Here is a 16,853-nt window from a genome sequence, read left to right on the forward strand (position 1 = left end):
TCCTGCTACTCTTTTCTAAAGGCTCCTTTTATTAAACCCTCCTCAAATTTCCCAATTCCAGGGTGCCAGCTGTCTCTCCCTAGGACCCTCTCTGCTACAAATTCCAAACAGCTCTCATGTTTCCATCACTCCTGAATTCCCAACCCATGTGAGTTCAGACTGATTCTTCACCCCGGTCCCCCAAAATCTTGCTCCTCCCACCAGCTTCCCTCTCCTGATGAAAGATAACTCCATGCTTATAGTTACACACTCCTCTTTCTCTCATACTTACATCTGGGGCTATCAGCAAATCCTATCAGCTCTACTATCAGAATGTACCCGGAAGCAGATCACTGCGTGACATCTCCTACCACCCTGGTCCAGCCCTGCTGTATCTCCCATGGTTGCAGCAGCCTCCTTCCTGGGCTCTCAGATTCTACCCTTGCCCCTCTGTAGTAGTCTCCACTCAGCAGCCAGAGGGATCCTTTAAAACCTAAGTCGAGTCATGTCACTTCTTTGTGCAAGACCCTCCAATGGCTATGAAAGCCAAAATCCTCACAAAAGCCTAGGAAGTCCTACCTGACCCTCCTCCTCCTCTCTTTCACTACTGTTCCTCCTACCACTGTGACCCTGCCCGCTCCTCTTCAGCTTTGCTGGCCTCCTGGCTGGTCTTTATGTCCAAGTAAAATCCTGGGCACAGGCTAGGCCCTACACCGGGCAGATAGGTGACATTCTCTCCCATCATTCTGGTCTCTGCTCCCAAGTCAACTTGTCCCAGAGGCCTTCCCTGACCACCCAATCTAACATAGCACAACCCTGACATTTTCTGTACCCCTTGCTCTGAGTGAGTCTCCTCCAAAGCACTTATCACCACTTGATGCATTTTATTGGTTTTCCCCCATCCCCATAAGCTGTTTTGTCCTCTGTTTTATTGCCAGTATCTGCAATGTGCCGTGCACTTTGTAGGTGCTCAAAACATGTCTGTTGAATGAATATATACCTTTAAGAAATGACCAGACCAGGTGTGGTGACTCACGCCTGTAATCCCAGCACTTTGGGAGGCTGAGGGGGGTGGATCTCTTGAGCCCAGGAGTTTAAGACCTGCTTGGGCAACATAGTGAGACCCCCATCTCTACAAAAAATTGAAAAATATTATCCAGCCATGGTGGCGTGCACCGGTGGTCCCAGCTACTTGGCAGGCTGAGGTGGGAGGATCACTTAAGTGAGCCATGACTGCACCACTGCACTGCAGCCCAGGAGACAGAATAAGACCCTGTCACACACATACACAAAAAAGACCGTAATGGGGAACACAGAGCTGGCTCATAAACAGCTGCCTCATTCTTTTTCACAGCACATAGTATTCCAGAGTACGGATGTACCATGGCATTTTTTAGACTAGTTTCCTATGATGGACATCTAGGTGGGTTCTAACCTTCAGTATTTCAAATGATGCTGCTGAAAACTCTCTTAAGCATTTATCCTTGTATTTCTCAGTAGGATAAGTTCCTAGATGTGCGATTGTTAGGTCAAAAGGTATGCTCATTTAAAATTCTGATCATATTTCCAAGTTGTTCTCCAAACTGGCAGACCCGGCCAGTTCTCTCTCCCTGACAACAGTGGATAAACACTGCTGTTTCCCCATCTGCTCCAACACCATGCAGTATCAGACTTTTTGATCTTGGTCAATAAGGATCGGTATTTCTGTGTTCAGTCGGCATTTCTCTAATATGGTAGTGAAGCCTAGTTTCCTTTGGAACTTTTCCAGGGGTCACACCGGCCAAGGCCTGATTGGAGACGCCTGGGACCCTGCCGATCTAGCGGGGGCGGGGGGGGGAGGGGGCGGAGGGGGGAGGGGGCGGGGCCCTTCCCGCCTCCCGCCTCCCGCCCCTGGCCGCGACAGCACCCACAACTCCGATCACTGCTCCTTCTTTTTCTGCGCTTTCCTTTCTCCCCCACAAGCTTCTGATTCTTGGAACCAGGCTCGGTGACCTCACGCGAGTGACTTCATATCCGGGACTTTCTGGGAATTCTCAGCAGCACTTTTTCGTAAGAAACGTAACTGGGGAGGCGCGGGGTGGGAAGGGGGTGGGAAGGGGGTGGTGGGCGGAGCTTTTGAGGAAGAAGAGAGAGAACAGCTCAGGGCCAGCTTCCTTTTTCCGATTAGGTCGGGTGGAGCTGGCAGGGCGGGCGGGCGAGCTGCAGCCAGCGAGACCCGAGTACCGCCCCCTTGGCCCGCAGCAGGGCACCCCCGTGCCTGCCTTCCGGGACGCAGGTGGGGGTTGGGGACACGGACCTCAGTCCTCATAGCTCCTGATTTGGGACCAGGGAGTGGTTCCTGAGGGTTCCCAGGCAAAGCCTCTGCTAGAGTTTTCTTCGGAAGTTAGCTGGGCATCTAACTAGGCAGCTCTGCCACAGGCTGGGGGGAAGGACAGCATAACCAAAACCAGAACCCCATTATGATTTTTGTGGGCCCTAAGTACCTTTGCCTTAATGGGCTCCTTTTCCATAAAAAAATATTTAAAAGTATATTTTACGACTGTGGTGGTATAAAGCCGAATATGTTAATGTTATATATTCAAACAATTTCTTCGGCCTGAAAGTTTGTTTTTCCCTTCTGATAGTAAAATGAGTTAAACATTTTCATGAGCTTCTAAAAGGATTGTGGACCCTAGGCAGTGTTGCCCCCTGTGCCGGATGGGTGAGTTGGCCCTGGGTAAAATCAGAGCGATGTGACACAGCCTGGAAAGAACATGAAAGGACCTAGAGGATAGAATTCTCCCCTCCTGGAGGAGGCCATAAACACAGGAACAGCTGCACAGGAAGGGCCTTGAATGACCTAAGAAGTGTGGATTTTAAGGCGACAGAGGTGGTGAGAAACTGCTGCAAGGCTGGATTGGAGGACTGATGGTTTGGGGGTGGCACTGGTGGTGGGGAGAGAAATGAGGAGGCTGTTGCTATGGTAGTCACATGTTGGAGCTCACAAATCAATGTGGAAATGAAGCAGGGGGCAAGGGGAAGACATACTTGGGAAGCCGAAGCCCACTGATATGAGGCAGTAATGCAGAGAGAAGCCTGGGCTATCTTCTCTGGCTTGGGTGAATGGCAGATGCTGCTACCCCTCTTGGAAAATAGGAAGACGGGAGGAGAACGTGTATGTGCACCAGGACTTTGGGAAGATCAAATGGAAGGTCTTTCACAAATAACAAAGCAAGGAGACTTCGAGTAACTTCACAGGCTTGTGGGCAGCTTCAGGGCCACCTCTTGCCCAGACCCTGCAAGTTGGGACACTTTCCTGCTCACTATGGCCTGGAGGACAAAACCACCTCACTTGGACATTTCCAGAATAAAGAATGGGGAAAAGCAGACTAGGTTTTCAATACCCTTTCAGTAGAAAACTGCCCCATAAACTCATTGGCTACCTACTTCTTAATCCCCAATAACTGTTTTTATGTGCGCATCCCCACCCCCATAATAGGCTTGACTCCCACCCTCCAATACAAACACTGGGCTTTCTCCAGAGCAGATCAGGCCAAAAGCAAGGGCTGGGACAGGAAATACACTTACAGGGAGAAGAGCTGGGTCTGAATGACTCCTTGAAAGATAATCCTTCATGTATTCACTCTAAAACACGAATCTAGCACTTACTATGTGTTCTGGTACCATTCTAGCACTGGGGATGCAATAAAAATCAAATAAGACGTGGTTCTTCATGGAGATGCTACTTCAGTGGGGGGAAGACTGACTGTGGAGATGTCACTTTCCAAAGATGTATGCATGTTCTAGAATTTTGCCTCTTCCCTACCAAAAGGTGATGTCCAATACCCCCTTCCTTTCAATCTGGGCAGACTTGTGACTCACTTGTAACCAACGGCATGTTGGTTACAGATGTGATTTTTCATGACTTCTGAGACTAGATCATAAGAGGTGATATAGCTTCTGCCTTGTTAGATGGGACATGTCTTTGGAGCTACAACTTAGGAAGTTCGACAACCCAGAGATTGCCATGTTGTGAGGAAGCCCAGGCCACATGGAAAGGCCACACATGTGTGTTCTGGTTGACATCCCTGCTGATGTCCCAAACATTGTGGCACAGAAACAAGCCATGCCCACTGTGCTCTGTCCAAATTCCTGTTTGGGGTGGTTTGCTATGCAGAAATACTATCTAGAACACTAAGAAACAAGTGAATAAGTGAGCAAGATAATTTCATATTGTGAGAGGGAAATATGGGAAAACATAAAACAGCATGAAAATAAGGGCCTCTTTAGATGGGGGAAGGGGGGAGGACTGATCAGGAAAGGCCTTTCTGGAGAGACATTGGAACTGAGACCTGAGTGAGAAGGAGCTCAACCGCTAACCCTCTGGGAGAAGAGACTTTCAGCCAGAGGGTTCATCAAGTACAAAGGTCTGGAGGCAGAAATCAGCTTGGTATGTTCTGAGAAGAGCAAGAAAGACAGTGTGACTAGGGTGATGTGGGTGAGGAGGAGAGTGGGGCCAACGAAGGTGGAGAAGAAGGCAGAGAGGCAAGTCATTCTGGTCCTACAGGTCACTGAGAGGAGTTTGGATTTAAGACTGAGTGAGCTGGGGAGCCGGTGGAGGGTATTATGCAGGAGTGACTGGATCTGGTCAATTCTTAGTAAGAGTTCTGGCTGCCTGGTGGAGGACAGAGCGTAAGGACACACAGGGCAAAGGGAGGAGGACCATTGGGGAGGCTATGGCAGTGCCTAATCCCCCAGGGAAGGGAGGATGGACGGTGGCCTGAGACATGGTGATGGCGGTGAAGATGGGGACTGGTGGACAAATTCCGGACACAGAGGCAATGACAGAGAGCACCAGGGAGGGAGGAGGCGCCCAGTCCTGCAGGTCCCGGGCAGGATCTAGACGTGGGTGAGGACAGGAACCCTGTATCCGTCTGGAATCCGAAGGGAGCCTCAGCGAGAGGGCTGGCCAGGACGGCGCGTCCTGGCGCCCGGCGTCTGCAGTGCAGAGCCAGTCCCTGGCTGCACGCCTGCCGGGCGTCTCCCAGCAACAGCCGCCGCCGCCCGAACGTTCTGAACTCGGCGGCCCCTTAGTCCTCATCGTCACCTTGGCGACGGCCGGTGGGAACACGCCCTGCGGGCTCCGGGGGCGGGGTCTGGTCGCCACGCGCTCCGCCTCCCGCGGGGTGCGCCTTCAGCCCCGCCCGCCCCCGCCCCTCCTCGGCGGCACGCGTGGCCGCAGGTGTGCAGGGCACCGGGAGGGGCCTCGCCGAGAAGCCGCTTCTCTCCTCTGTGCACGCCGCCGCCGGCGCGCACCACCGGCCCAGTCACCTCTCCCCACTCTTCCCCCTAGGCCGCCACCTCCAACCAATCGGACTGGCTCTTCTGTCATTCGGGTCACCTCCGCTGAGATGCCTTCCCTGACCACCCAAGTTGAAGGAACTGCTAACCTTTTCTCTTGGACTTTGTTTTTTATTTCCTTCACAGTATTTCTCCCCTCTAAAATTATCTTGTCTGCTTCTACCTATATTGCCTTCCCTCTTGAAACCTAAGTTCCATAAACTGAGGCACAAATTCTGCCTTGTTCATCTCTGTTCTCAGCACTCTGAACAGAACCTGGCATGAATGAGGTGCTCAATAAAAGTTACTTGGATGAATCGGCAGATTTACTCAATCATTTCATTCTTTATGCATTCATTTATTTGACATTTATGGAGTGCCCTCTAGGCACTTGTGGTAAAGACGTACCAAGATGAATGAGACAGTGACCCCCCTGGAGGTAAGAAAGAAGATATATATTTTTTTAAAATTACAATAATACTAAAAGTGAGTGTCTTGGAGTTCCAGATGCCAGGCATAGCTTCAAGCACTTTATACTGCCTAGTGTTCCATTATTGGAACGCTAAGCATGTGGGAGTTATTTATGCGACTGCTCAAGGTCATTGCCAAGGTCTGATTACAAAAATTCAAAAAATTGCGACCTCAGGCATAAATGGGTTAATTCACTTAATCTTCACAATAGTAGGTAATATAGCTGTGCCCACTTTACAGATGAGAACATTGAGGAGAACCGTCATGCTATATAGGCCACTGGGCCCTGTAATCAAGTGAGATCCCACAGAAGGCAGGGGATCAACAAGATTCATGTACCAGGCTCAAGCAGGTGGATTTGGTACCTTGATTATTCTTGACACAGCACAGTCTCCCACAGGGCACAGGCTCCTTCCAGATCAGAGCTGTGTTGTCCCAAGGGAACCCTACCCATATTGGCTGAGCAGGCAATGAGGGGCCTGTGAGGGTTGTGGAAGATTGGGCCCTGGGCTAGGGGTAGGCTAGGGGCCTGTCTCTTCCATTGAAGCAAAGTGTGGGTGACTTTCCACATAAACTTGGTGTGAGGCAAACCTAGTTTCAAAAGCCTGGGTATCCAGGAAACCCAGGAACTAAATTTATTCCACCTCGGGGTCTTTGCAAGTGCTGTTCCCTCTACCTAGCATGGTTCCTCCCTCAATTTTCACATAGTTGCTCTTTGTCATTTAGATCTCAGCTGAGGTGTTTTTTTCTTAGAGAGCCCTGCCTTGGCCACTCCGTCTAAGGCAGTCACCTGCCATTGTCATATGACCATATTTTAAGACTCTTATCCCAAAGTGGGAGAGTGGCCTAGTCAGATGCGTCACCCTATTCCTGATCTAATTTTTCTTATTTATTGTCTCTCTGTCTCCTCATTCTAAAAAGTTCCCTGAAAGCGGGACCCCATTGGACCTCACCTCTGTGTCCCCACTGCCTAGAACAGGCCTGGAATACAGAAGATGCTTAGTGATTTTTGAAAGACAGCATGAAAAGGGCCCTTCACCAAAACAACCTGACTTTCCAGGCCAGGATCTGAGCACTTCATTTCTCAGGAACCACTGCTTGGCACACAACACCTGGGCTGAACAGGCAGAAGTGATCCAGCCATCTTGGGCACAGGAATTCTCCTGGCGTGAGTTCCTCCTGCTTCCCAGTCCTGACTGGGCTGCTCTCCAGCTCTGGGGCAGGATTCTAAGAACCCCTCCAGGATGGTATTCAAGAACATCCAGGAGGCGAGGTCGAGATAGAGAGGGCAGCACTGTGTGTGTGTGTGTGTGTGTGTGTGTGTGTGTGTGTGTGTGTGTGATGGGGATAGGGGCAAGGAGAATAGAAGTGTGGGCAGGGCATTTCTGGTTGCCAGCCAAGATGGTGGAGAAGGGGTGGCTTTTAGAGCCTTCCCACACTGCTGTTGCTAGGAAGACGAGGCACCTGGAGGTTGTGGCTGTTTTCTCCCCCTGCAGTAGGAACACATACTGGAACAGATGTACACACAGTCAGACATGCACAGAGTAGAGAATAAAACTTGGATTTATTCAGACCGTATGCTTCCCATTTGGGGTGCAGAGTGGGGGACAGTCATGGGGACAGAGAAAGGCAGTGCATTTGGCTTCTAGGGACATGCTGATTGCTGACTCTTTGGGTGACCTTTGGGCCACCAGATGACCAGCTGAATGATGGAGATGGTGATGAAGGGGCTGGCGGCCAGGTCCTTCTGGAGACCTCACAGTGATTCCAAACAGAGACCAACGCTGTGTCCAGTTGGCTCTGTTCCTCTCCAGGGATTAAGGAGCAGATGGCTGGGAACACTCAGACTAATTAAAGAAATAAAAACTCTGGGTAGAGGGACACTCTGGGGGGCTCCAATTCAGGCAGTGGTGTGCAAATTCACACATGTCGATGCGTGGGCCAGGCCTGTGTGAAAAACATGTGTGTGTCTGTATATATTACATCCTCCACAAGCAGCTGGGAGCCCCCATCCTACCCCCACGCCTGTGCAACTCTGTGGGCCTCTTCCAGACCTTTCTTTTTCCATTTGGAAGAACTGGGCCTATTGAAAGAACTGCGAAAGGGAAATGGCCCACAGTAATCCTCTGAAGATGCCATTTCCTCTTGGTCCTTGCTCCAGTGTACAGGAGGCAGGTACCCACTTCAGTCCTGGGGCAGTGGAGGCCAGGAACAGGTGGCAGGTGTGGTGGGAGGCGGTGGGCCTCACTGGGCAGCTGGCTGGGAGTAGCTGCAGGACACCTGCACCGTCTCAGCTTCTGTCAGGTCACTGCTGAACCCAGCTGGGCTGTGCAGGAACTGCCTCAGCAAGGGGGAGGCGTGGAGCCCGAGGTGGGAGCCTGGGTTCCTGGGTGGCTCTGCCTGCTCGGTGACTGTGGTGGAAGACATGAGGACTGTGTTCCCAAACTGGTCCACCTCCTCATACTGTTCAGTCACGGTTCTCATGGCTCCATAGTGTTGTGAGCTCCCTGGCCCCGTCTGTAGCTCCAGAACACTCTTTTGCCACCCTCTGGGCAGGGGACTGGCTGAGGGAGGGGCAGGTTCAGGTTGCACAGAGCACTGGGTGATGTCCTTCTTCCCAGTTTTGTCTTGGACACCTTTCTGGTGGAGCAGGGCCTGGCCTATGTCCTGAGCCAGTTGTGTGCTTTTCACTGAGACATCAGGGTTGCCCTTAAAGCTGGGAGTCTCTAGAGGCTTCCTTGTGGCCGACTGGATGGAGATAAATGTTGGGGAGGAGGGAGAATCTCGGCTGGAAGGTAAAACCCGAGGAGGGCACAAATACTCTCTTGATGTCTCCTGCCTCCTGGTGGAAGGGGCAGTTGAGGCTGTGTGACCTCTGGCCTCTGTGTGATTTCTGATCTTGACTTGACTCTGGGCCTCAGTGTGGCATTCAACCTTGGCTTGGTTCTTGACTGCAGTTTGACCTCCGACCTCCTGGCCTGAGCCACTGGGCCTGGCGCTACTGCTGACTGTGACACTGATCTTGTGGGCACTGTGGTCTTTTGGAGGTCCCTGGAAATGGCCTCTGGCACTGGCCTCAGGCTGGAGGCTAGACATGGAGCTGAGTGCCTTGTGCACAGCCTCTTCAATGTCCAGCAGCCTTGCCAAGGTCTGTTCCTTCAGTTGAGCAACTTCCGTGCTGACCCGTGTCAGCTCCCCAAAGGCCTGCTCCACTGAGGCCTCGGGCTTTTGGTGGGCAGCAGGAGCCTGAGGAGCAGCCCCTCCCAGCTGGGGCACGGCCTCAAAGAGCCTCCGCAGGGCCTGCACGTCCACACTGCTTGCGGCCTCCTTCTCCAGGGCTTGCACCTGGTTCAGGAGGCCCTGGAGCTCTTTCTGGTTTCTTTGCAGACTGTCAGGGCTCTCAGGGGCCCCTTGGTGGGAACCTTCCATGGGCTGCTCTCCTGAGGGGCCGGGGCCCCACTGTGGTGAGGTGGGATCATGGTTGAGGGCATTGAGCTTGGGGGGCTCAGAGCTCTGGGCATTGCTGCCTGTAGCCTGATTCTTGGTGGGCCTGGGGGCCGTGGTGCTGAGGCCATGTTGTAAGCTGGGCTGGCTATGTCCACTGGGACATCTGGCCAGAGGTATGTGGCCCTGGTCTACAGTAGTGGGAACCTTGGCTGGCTGAGGGATGGCTGTATCTCTCTCACCTCGTTGGTGTTCTCTTTGCCCCACCTCCGAGGAAAAGCTGGGAGATAGAGGCAAGGGCTTGGGCAGCCTCTGAGGAGGGTGGCTCTGGGTTAGGTGTGCAGGTTTAGGGGGCAGCTGCGGCTTCTTCTTTGGGGGCATGGTGGGGTCCAGTTTTGGGGTCTTTGTCTGTGACCCTCCAGGGGTTCTCTGGCCAGCAGGGCTGCTGTGGGAGTGAAGAAGGGGGTCCTTCAGGGGCTCAGAGGCTTGCTGGATGGAGTCCTCAGCACGGTGGGCTCCAGCTGGAAAGTCAGGTCCTGTCACAGCAGCTGGGAGAGTAGGAGGAGGAGGAACAAAGGCATTATGGGGGTGCGGGCTGGCACCTGCAGCTTGGGGCCCAGAGGCCAGAATGTGGCGGCCTAGAGGGGCAGTCTTCAGGGTGGTCTCTGCAGCTTGGAGGCCCCCTGGGCAGACTTCTGCCATCGCCTTCCCTGGTGGCCCCCAGGCCATCTGTGTGCAGCCCCCAGGCTCCTCCCGCCCTGGCCCAGTACTCTGACCTGGGCCTCCCTGGAGTGGGCGGGGAGCCTGGACTGAGAGGGCAGTCTCCCTGTGCCTTGACTGGGGTTCCCTCTGAGAAAGCTGGACACCCCCAGGTGGGTCAAAGGTCCTCACGGGATGAGCGGTGTAGATGCCATCCTGAATTGTCACCCACCCCCCAGGCAGCCCTCTGGGTAGTGCTTGCTCTTCCCTACTGACCTTTCTGGGGGCTGCTGGGATCCGGGGATCACTTCCACCCCCAGGCCTTATGTTGCTTTGGGTAGCCCCAGCTTTCCGAAGACCGTCCTGGATGGGGTTGGAAGTGGCTGTTGGGGTGGGGCCCTGCTTGTGCTTGTTCAGAACTTGCTGGTGCAGGCTCTGGGCTTCAGCTGTTGCCATCCGCAGACTCTGCATGGCGGCCAGGAGGTCTGGGGCCCCAGGCCCCGGAGGGGTAGTCGTGGCTCCTTCTGACTTTCCCAAGACTGCCATCCCTTTCTGTCCAGAGTGACTGTCTTCCTGCTTTTCTGTGTTTTGCAATTGGGCTGGTGCTGCAGCTTCCCCAGCCAGAGGGACTGCCTTTCCAATGGCCTGAGGAGGGCAAGGGGTGGCCCCTGAGGCTCTCAGATGCCCCATCCCCATGCTGGGGTCCAGTGGGGGAACATGGATGATGCTCTCAGTTGGGTGCAGGCTCTGGGCCCCCTCGCTGGCTGGCACTGGACTCGGGTCAGCCGGGGGCTCCCACCGCAGACTGTGCAGGCCACTCAGGTCTCCTTTATCTATGCAGCTGGCCAACAGCTGCACGCTGCTCCTCTCAGAGGCCTTGCTAGTTAGCCGGGGCTGCAGAGAGTAGGCAGTCAGTGCGACCAGGCCCTGCTCTGTCTCCTGCATCACCAGCCCAGTCCTTGCCACGGAGGTCCCAAGACCGCAAGCCAGCAGCTGCTGGAGCTCAGGGTCCATGTCTTCAATATTCCCACTGCTGCCTGGAGTTGGCAGCCTCAGCGGCTTGAGTTGGAGCTGGCCAGTTGGGTCTTCCTGCACCAGCAGCCCCTGCTGGTCCACATCTGGCCGGCGCAGGACTTGGCAGATGATCCTGGGAAGTTCACCTGACACCAGCTCCTCCTTTCGTATATAAGGGTGCCCCTGCCCTGTGCCCGAGAGCACATACTTGGCAAGACAGAGCTCCCCTGGCCCTCGGGCCTCCATGAGGATGCCTCCATGGTGCAGGATGCCAGGTGTGGCATGCAGAGTCCGCAGGGTCCCCTCAGCTGCAGTCTCCTGGCTCTCTTGCATCCTGTTGCCTGAGGGGCTCATGGGCTGCTCTTCCAGGAGGTTGCCCCCTTGGATGCTCTCAGCTGCCAGGGAGCCCATGGGACAATTCTCAAAAAGCCAAGTGAACTTGTGGACAGAACCCGCGGGGATGGACCCAGCGATTACCCGGGGCTCCTGTTCTTCCTTCTTGCCTGCCTCCAGGGCCTGAAAAACCTCTTTCTGACGAGACACCTGCCCTGAAGGGATCTCCACGCGGCTGCAGTATCTCACAGGCCGTCTTCCACAGGGACGGCCTGAGGCCTGAAGAGGCTCGGTCTCAAAGACGTGTCTGTCTGTCTGTCTTTCCCCAGCCGGGACCTGGCTAACCTGCAGGTGCTGCTCCCTGGAGCCCACTGGCCTGTCCACAGGTTGGGGCTTGAACATCCAGGTGCAGGACTGTGCCTCAGCCTTGGCTGTGGGATCTGTGACCTCTGACCCCTGCTTTTCGGCCAACTCACTCATTGGGCAAGTCTCGAACAACCACCGGATGGTCTGCACATCGCCCTTTGGGGGTGCCTCAGGCTGGGGGTCTCCCTGACTCTTCCCTTCTTCTTTCTGTCGTTCCTGCTGCTCCCGTTGGTGGATCATCTCCAGGGGCTGGGTCTCAAAAAGCCACCGAGCTGTGCCAACGTCCCCAGCCACCACTTCCTGCCGGGTGATGCCCCGCACCACGTCGATGGTACTGGGGCTTCGGCCGAGCTGGTCTAGGGGCTGTGTCTCAAACATCCACCTGTAGCCCTGCACATCACCTCCGACTATCTGCTCTCTGCTAACAGAGGTCAGGGCATGGAGGCGGCCCTTGCTGTCCTGCATGGCATACACTGGGGACCCTATGCCCTGGGCCTGCCCAGCAGAATCAGTTCCTTCTTCTCTGCTTGGACTCCCATGGGCCAGAACCTCACCCTGTCCAATGCTGTCCAAGGGAAGGGTCTCAAAAAGGTTCTTAAAAGTCTTCACATCCCCCTTTAGCTCATCCCTCTGGGGGGCACTCTGAGAGAAGGGCAGTGCTGAGGAGCTGTCACTGGATAGATGCCCCTCACCGTCCTGGGGATCCACTCGCTGTAGGTGACCCACTTGGACCTTGTCTCTGAAAGCATCCAGGGGCTTTGTTTCAAATAGCCACAGGGTGGAGCGGACATCACCAGGGACCACTTCCTCCTTGGGTGGGGCCTCTGCTCCAGCCTCTTCGTCCCCCTTCAGAGTGTCCAGCGCTCGGGTCTCAAACAGATGCTGCTGCTGCTGAACATCTGGACCAGGTGGGATAAGGTCTGGGGATGGCTGGAAGTCCTTCTCATCTACCAAGATCTCCCGGATGGCATCCAGGGGCTGTGTCTCAAAGATCCAGCGAGTTGCACTGACGTCGGGCCGGGCCCCCTCCTCCAGGGAAATCCCCCGGATCACCCGCACCTGGCTGGGGTCCTGGTTGATGGCGTCCAGAGGCCGGGTCTCAAAGAGCCAGCGGGCAGACCTCACCGCGTTGCTTTGGATCTCCTCCCGGCATGCGGCCTTGACCTCATGGATGGCGCCCTCTGCATCCTGGATGGCACACAGGGGCTCCGTTTGGAAGAGCTTCACTGTCTTTTTCACATCACCCTTCAGCTCCTGGATCTCTGAGCGCAGTTCCAAGGGGCTCTGCTCCTGCAGGGAGGGGCGGGAGCCCAGGCGGTCCAGCGGCCGCGTCTCAAAGAGCATCCTGGTACCCTGCACATCTCCGCTGGCTGCAGGCTCCCTCACAGTGGCCTCCAGTTCCTTGGCTTGCCCTGTCAGCTCGTCCAGTGGCTTTGTCTCAAATAGCCAGCGGGCTGCACGAACGTCTCCTCCACCTGGCTGGGGCCTGGTTGGCTCCTGGTCTGTGCTGTTGGCAAAGGAGCCTTCCTCAAACTTGCGGGAGGTGGCCTGGACGTCACCACACAGCACGGGCTCCTTGGCAGCTGGCCTCTCGTGTTCTCCAATGGCATCCAGTCTCCAGTTCTCAAAGATCCAGCGCATGCACTGAACGTCACCCTCGGTGGGTTCCTCAGAGCCCAGGACCTCAGCCAGATCCTCGGCCACAGCCTCAGCCAGATTCTTGCGGAGCTCAGGGTGGATGTGCCTGTAGAGGCGGCGGAGCTCACTAGCTTGCCGCTGCTGATGGAACTTGGAGAAGGATTCCTTGGGTGGCGGCAGTGGCAGGTCCTCCAGGGCTGGGGGTGGAGGGAGGGGCAGGTCCTCTGCAGTTGCCATCCTCATGGTTGGTGTGGGGGCCACCTGTGTCTGGGTGTCGGCCATCCTTCTGAGAAGAAGGGGCAGAGATGAGGATGGGATTGGGAGCCTTAGATCTAGATGTTCAGCAGGGTAGAGGCTGGATGCTGGGAGAAATGGTAGTAAACAGGGCTCAGAGTCAGAGTAGCTCTGGGTGACTTACGCTTAGAGACTCCTTCCCTCTCTCTATGTGCCTGGCCTGGGCTTCACTTCGCTGCCTGCATGGTTCGTGGGCAACAGGTCTTGAACTTAGGACATGGACCCATTAATCATAGTGGGTTCCTGCTTTCCCTACATCTCATGCGTTGCTAGGGAGTGACCATGGTACCACTGGACATGAGACACTTTCCTTTAGCTCCATAAGGGACGCATAAACCTCCAGTGGGCAAACTGGACATGCCCCATCCTCACCTTCCTTTGTTAAAAATCAGTGTTTCCCTGGAAGACTGCCAGGGGAGTGGCCTGGGGGAATCCTGACTTTTGGAGTCCCAGCCTTGGAGAGGCAGGTCTCTAAACTGGTGACTGATTTCCTATGGAGACGAGATTCCTTTGCAGAACACCAGAGGGCAGACTTGCCATGTTGACCTGGAACGCTGCCTAACTTTTACCTCTTGGCTGTCAACGCACTCCAACCTTTCCCAGGCCCAAGGAGGCAAGCAGAGGCCAACAGCCCATGCTAGAGCGGAAGCAGTTGAGAATCAGGGCTGGGAAGCTGCTCATCAGATATCTCGTGCTTAGGCCAGATCCAAATTCTGAATATCTGGTCAGGGTTTTCTGCATTATACTCGAAGACTGAGAATGTCTGAGCTAGGGGGATCTCAAAGGTCTTTTAGCACAATCATTTATAAATAAAGATGAGGGAACTTAGGCCCAGAGTCAGATCTTGGTGAATAAATGGAAGGCCGTGCTGGCTTGGGGTCCCTAGACTCCATTTAGGGCATGGCCCCAAGAAATAAGAGGGTAGCAGGTGTAAAGCTTTCTTATTGGCCATAGAACCCGTCTATTCCCCAGCAGGCACCCCTGGGAGGATATGAGGGTGACAACAACCAGGGAGAGGACCATGGGATCAGGGTCCTTTCTGCAGAGACAGCCCTGCCTCTTGCTCCTGGATACCGCTCTCTAAGCAAGCAAGCACAGCTTCAGGGGCTCGGACTCAGGGGGGCTTCAGGCTAAGCCCTACCCCTGCAGGCCTCATGGCCACCCCAGCTCAGCCTCTCCCCGGCTACACCCCCGCCCCTCAATGACCTACCACCCCTCAAGCCCTTCTCTGGTCTCTGTCCATGTATGTCTTATCTCTCTTGTGACAGGTGTACTAACAGTCCCCAGAGGCCAGTAGGGAAAGAATGGGAAGCACGTGCCCCCTCCTGCTGCCCCTGACCCACTGCTCTGCACCACACAGGGTGCTAAATATAGCTGAGGTCCTGGCCTCAGAACAGCAGCCCTGGGCTCAGAGGGAGGCTGAGGCCCAGCCAGTGGGGACCCTCAGTACCCTTGGCTCACCTCATCTCCTTCATTAGCCTGGGCTCCCCTATCCTGCCTCCTGGGCTGGTGTCAGGCCCCTGGGCTGCAGGCCAGCCAGGTGCTAGAACCTGGACACCTTCCCTGGCCAAAGGAGTCTGCACTGGGGGGAGGTACTGGAAGTAAGTGGGGCAGGACTTCCTCCCTATGGCTACCTCAGAAGGAGGAGAGAGGAAACTGAGACCTGCTGACCCCATGCCCACCCTGGCATGTCCACCAAAGACATCAGAACCTTTGGGGAATGTGAGCTCTGAAACCTGCAGCCTGAGTCTCATCAAAGCTCTGGGTGGTTTTCTTTCATTTCTGAGCTCCAATGAGGATCCCCTGCCCAAGGCAAACCTGAGCCTGTCTCCACCTCTACTCCATCCTGTCACCACCAGGGTGGCCTGAGCAGATGGTGTGTGCACACCATCAGCTTCACCCCACCCCCGCCCCCAGGAATTTCCAGAATCTCTGCTAAGGCCACAGACAGTTATTATCATGGAGTCCAGGGATGTCAGGCCTAAGGACCCTCAGAGGTCACTCAATCTAAACCCCTTATTGTTCAAATAGGGAAACAGAGGCCCAAAGAGGGGAAAGGAGCTGTCCAAGGAGGCTCAGCAAGGCAGTAGCAAAGCCTGAAGCATGTCTCCTGACTCCTGGCCTTCCCACCACCATCTTTGCCTGGCTTGAGACTGCTGGGACAAGTGTAGAGTCAGGACAGAATTCATAACTGGGACCAGACTTACGTGGGGTGAGCCCCAAGAACTGTCCTAGAGCTTGGTCTCCTAGGGCTGGGCCAGCCTCTCAGGATGGTCCCCCTGCTGTCCTCGGGTCACCTCCTCCTTGGCCCAGCTGGCTCCATATGTCTTTACATCTGGGCAAATTCAGATCTGGTCTCCCTCCCGTGAGCCCCCCAAATCTGCCCTGGGGGCTTTCCCACTGGGCAAGACTATGGACATGGGCAGAGTCCGAATTCCACCCCAGGTTTTAGGCTATGATATGTAGGGAGCTGGGCTCCGGCCAGCCCCTGGGAGCTATCCCTGGGCCAGATATGCCAAGAGTGTCATCCACAACAACTAGGCATGGGGCTTGTTCTAGCAATGCACACTCAGGCCTACTTACAGCCCCCTGCCCCCACCTCTCTCCTGTTCCTCCTTCCTCCAGATCCTGGGCCTGCCTGAAGCTTCCCTGGGAGGAAGCCCTGAAGCCTGAGGCACTCCATACCTGTATTTTAAAAATCACAACTCCAGGCCTTTCTGGATCATGCCAGCCTGGCAGGAGCCTATCCTTTCTGCTAGCTTCAGGCCTGTGGCAGCCACTCTGAGAGCTCCCATGGGGCTCACACTGTCTTTACCTCCTTTGTGGGTTCTTTATGTCTGAGACTTCCACTCACCTCCTCCCATGCATGCCCCTCAATCTCCTTCCCCTACTCAGAGCCATTCCTAATACGTCCATTTCAGAAGGAGAGGGGATCCCAGCTGTGAAAGCCAGCCTTGCTGTGGAAGGATGGAGAGGTAGGTTACTCACCAAGGGTCTCTCTTGGCTGATGGGGTGTTTGTGGTCTGTAGCAGCTGTGGTCTCAGGGTTCGTCGTTCCTCTGGAGGTTCTTGTTCAAATTGGTTCTGTTCTGCTGGCTCCAACAGACACCTTCTTGCTGCCCTGGCTCCAGGTCTCTGTCCCCTGCCAGCCCCAGCAGCTGCCTTTATCTTGCTGGCTAGTGGGTGGGCCGTGGTGGGGGCGGGTGGGAGAGGCTATGTTCCGAGTATTAAGTGGTTCGGTTATTTTTAGGTCTTGTGGAAGTCACTCTTCCATCCTGGGGAATCAGTTACATGTCC

The 16,853-nt window shown here is 54.9% G+C and overlaps 1 protein-coding gene and 1 long non-coding RNA gene across 6 annotated transcripts, besides 2 other annotated features; one reads left to right on the plus strand and one right to left on the minus strand.

Moving 5' to 3' along the window:
- The first annotated feature begins 1,848 nt into the window (after positions 1–1,848).
- Positions 1,849–5,621, plus strand: LOC105377035 (uncharacterized). The gene is made up of 2 exons (XR_940740.3): positions 1,849–2,028; positions 5,312–5,621. It is a non-coding gene; the product is annotated as an uncharacterized LOC105377035 (long non-coding RNA).
- Positions 4,988–5,397: a silencer, noted in NCBI's record as "silent region_14222". NCBI's record gives its function as "represses an Ori minimal core promoter by ATAC-STARR-seq in GM12878 lymphoblastoid cells {active_cell/tissue: GM12878}" and the evidence as "EXISTENCE:reporter gene assay evidence [ECO:0000049][PMID:35858748]".
- XIRP1 (xin actin binding repeat containing 1) lies at positions 7,315–16,695 on the minus strand. 5 transcript variants are annotated; one of them, XM_047447588.1, is made up of 3 exons: positions 16,546–16,695; positions 10,189–13,549; positions 7,315–9,761 (listed from the first exon to the last, which is right to left on the minus strand). In XM_047447588.1, exons 2-3 carry the CDS (start codon positions 13,543–13,545, stop codon positions 9,753–9,755), a joined length of 3,366 nt encoding a protein of 1,121 aa, XP_047303544.1. In that variant the 5' UTR covers positions 13,546–13,549; positions 16,546–16,695; the 3' UTR covers positions 7,315–9,752. The 5 variants fall into 5 exon arrangements, with proteins under 5 accessions (XP_047303544.1, NP_001185550.1, NP_001338306.1 ...); NM_001198621.4 differs by having other exon boundaries at positions 10,189–13,625; NM_001351377.2 differs by lacking the exon at positions 10,189–13,549.
- Positions 15,466–16,455: an enhancer, noted in NCBI's record as "H3K4me1 hESC enhancer chr3:39232857-39233846 (GRCh37/hg19 assembly coordinates)". NCBI's record gives its function as "activates a minimal SCP1, AML or CMV promoter by ChIP-STARR-seq in primed H9 embryonic stem cells {active_cell/tissue: H9 hESC(primed)}" and the evidence as "EXISTENCE:reporter gene assay evidence [ECO:0000049][PMID:30033119]".

The sequence above is a fragment of the Homo sapiens genome, chromosome 3 (assembly GCF_000001405.40).
Source record: "Homo sapiens chromosome 3, GRCh38.p14 Primary Assembly".
In the NCBI taxonomy this organism is placed as follows: Eukaryota; Metazoa; Chordata; class Mammalia; order Primates; family Hominidae; genus Homo; species Homo sapiens.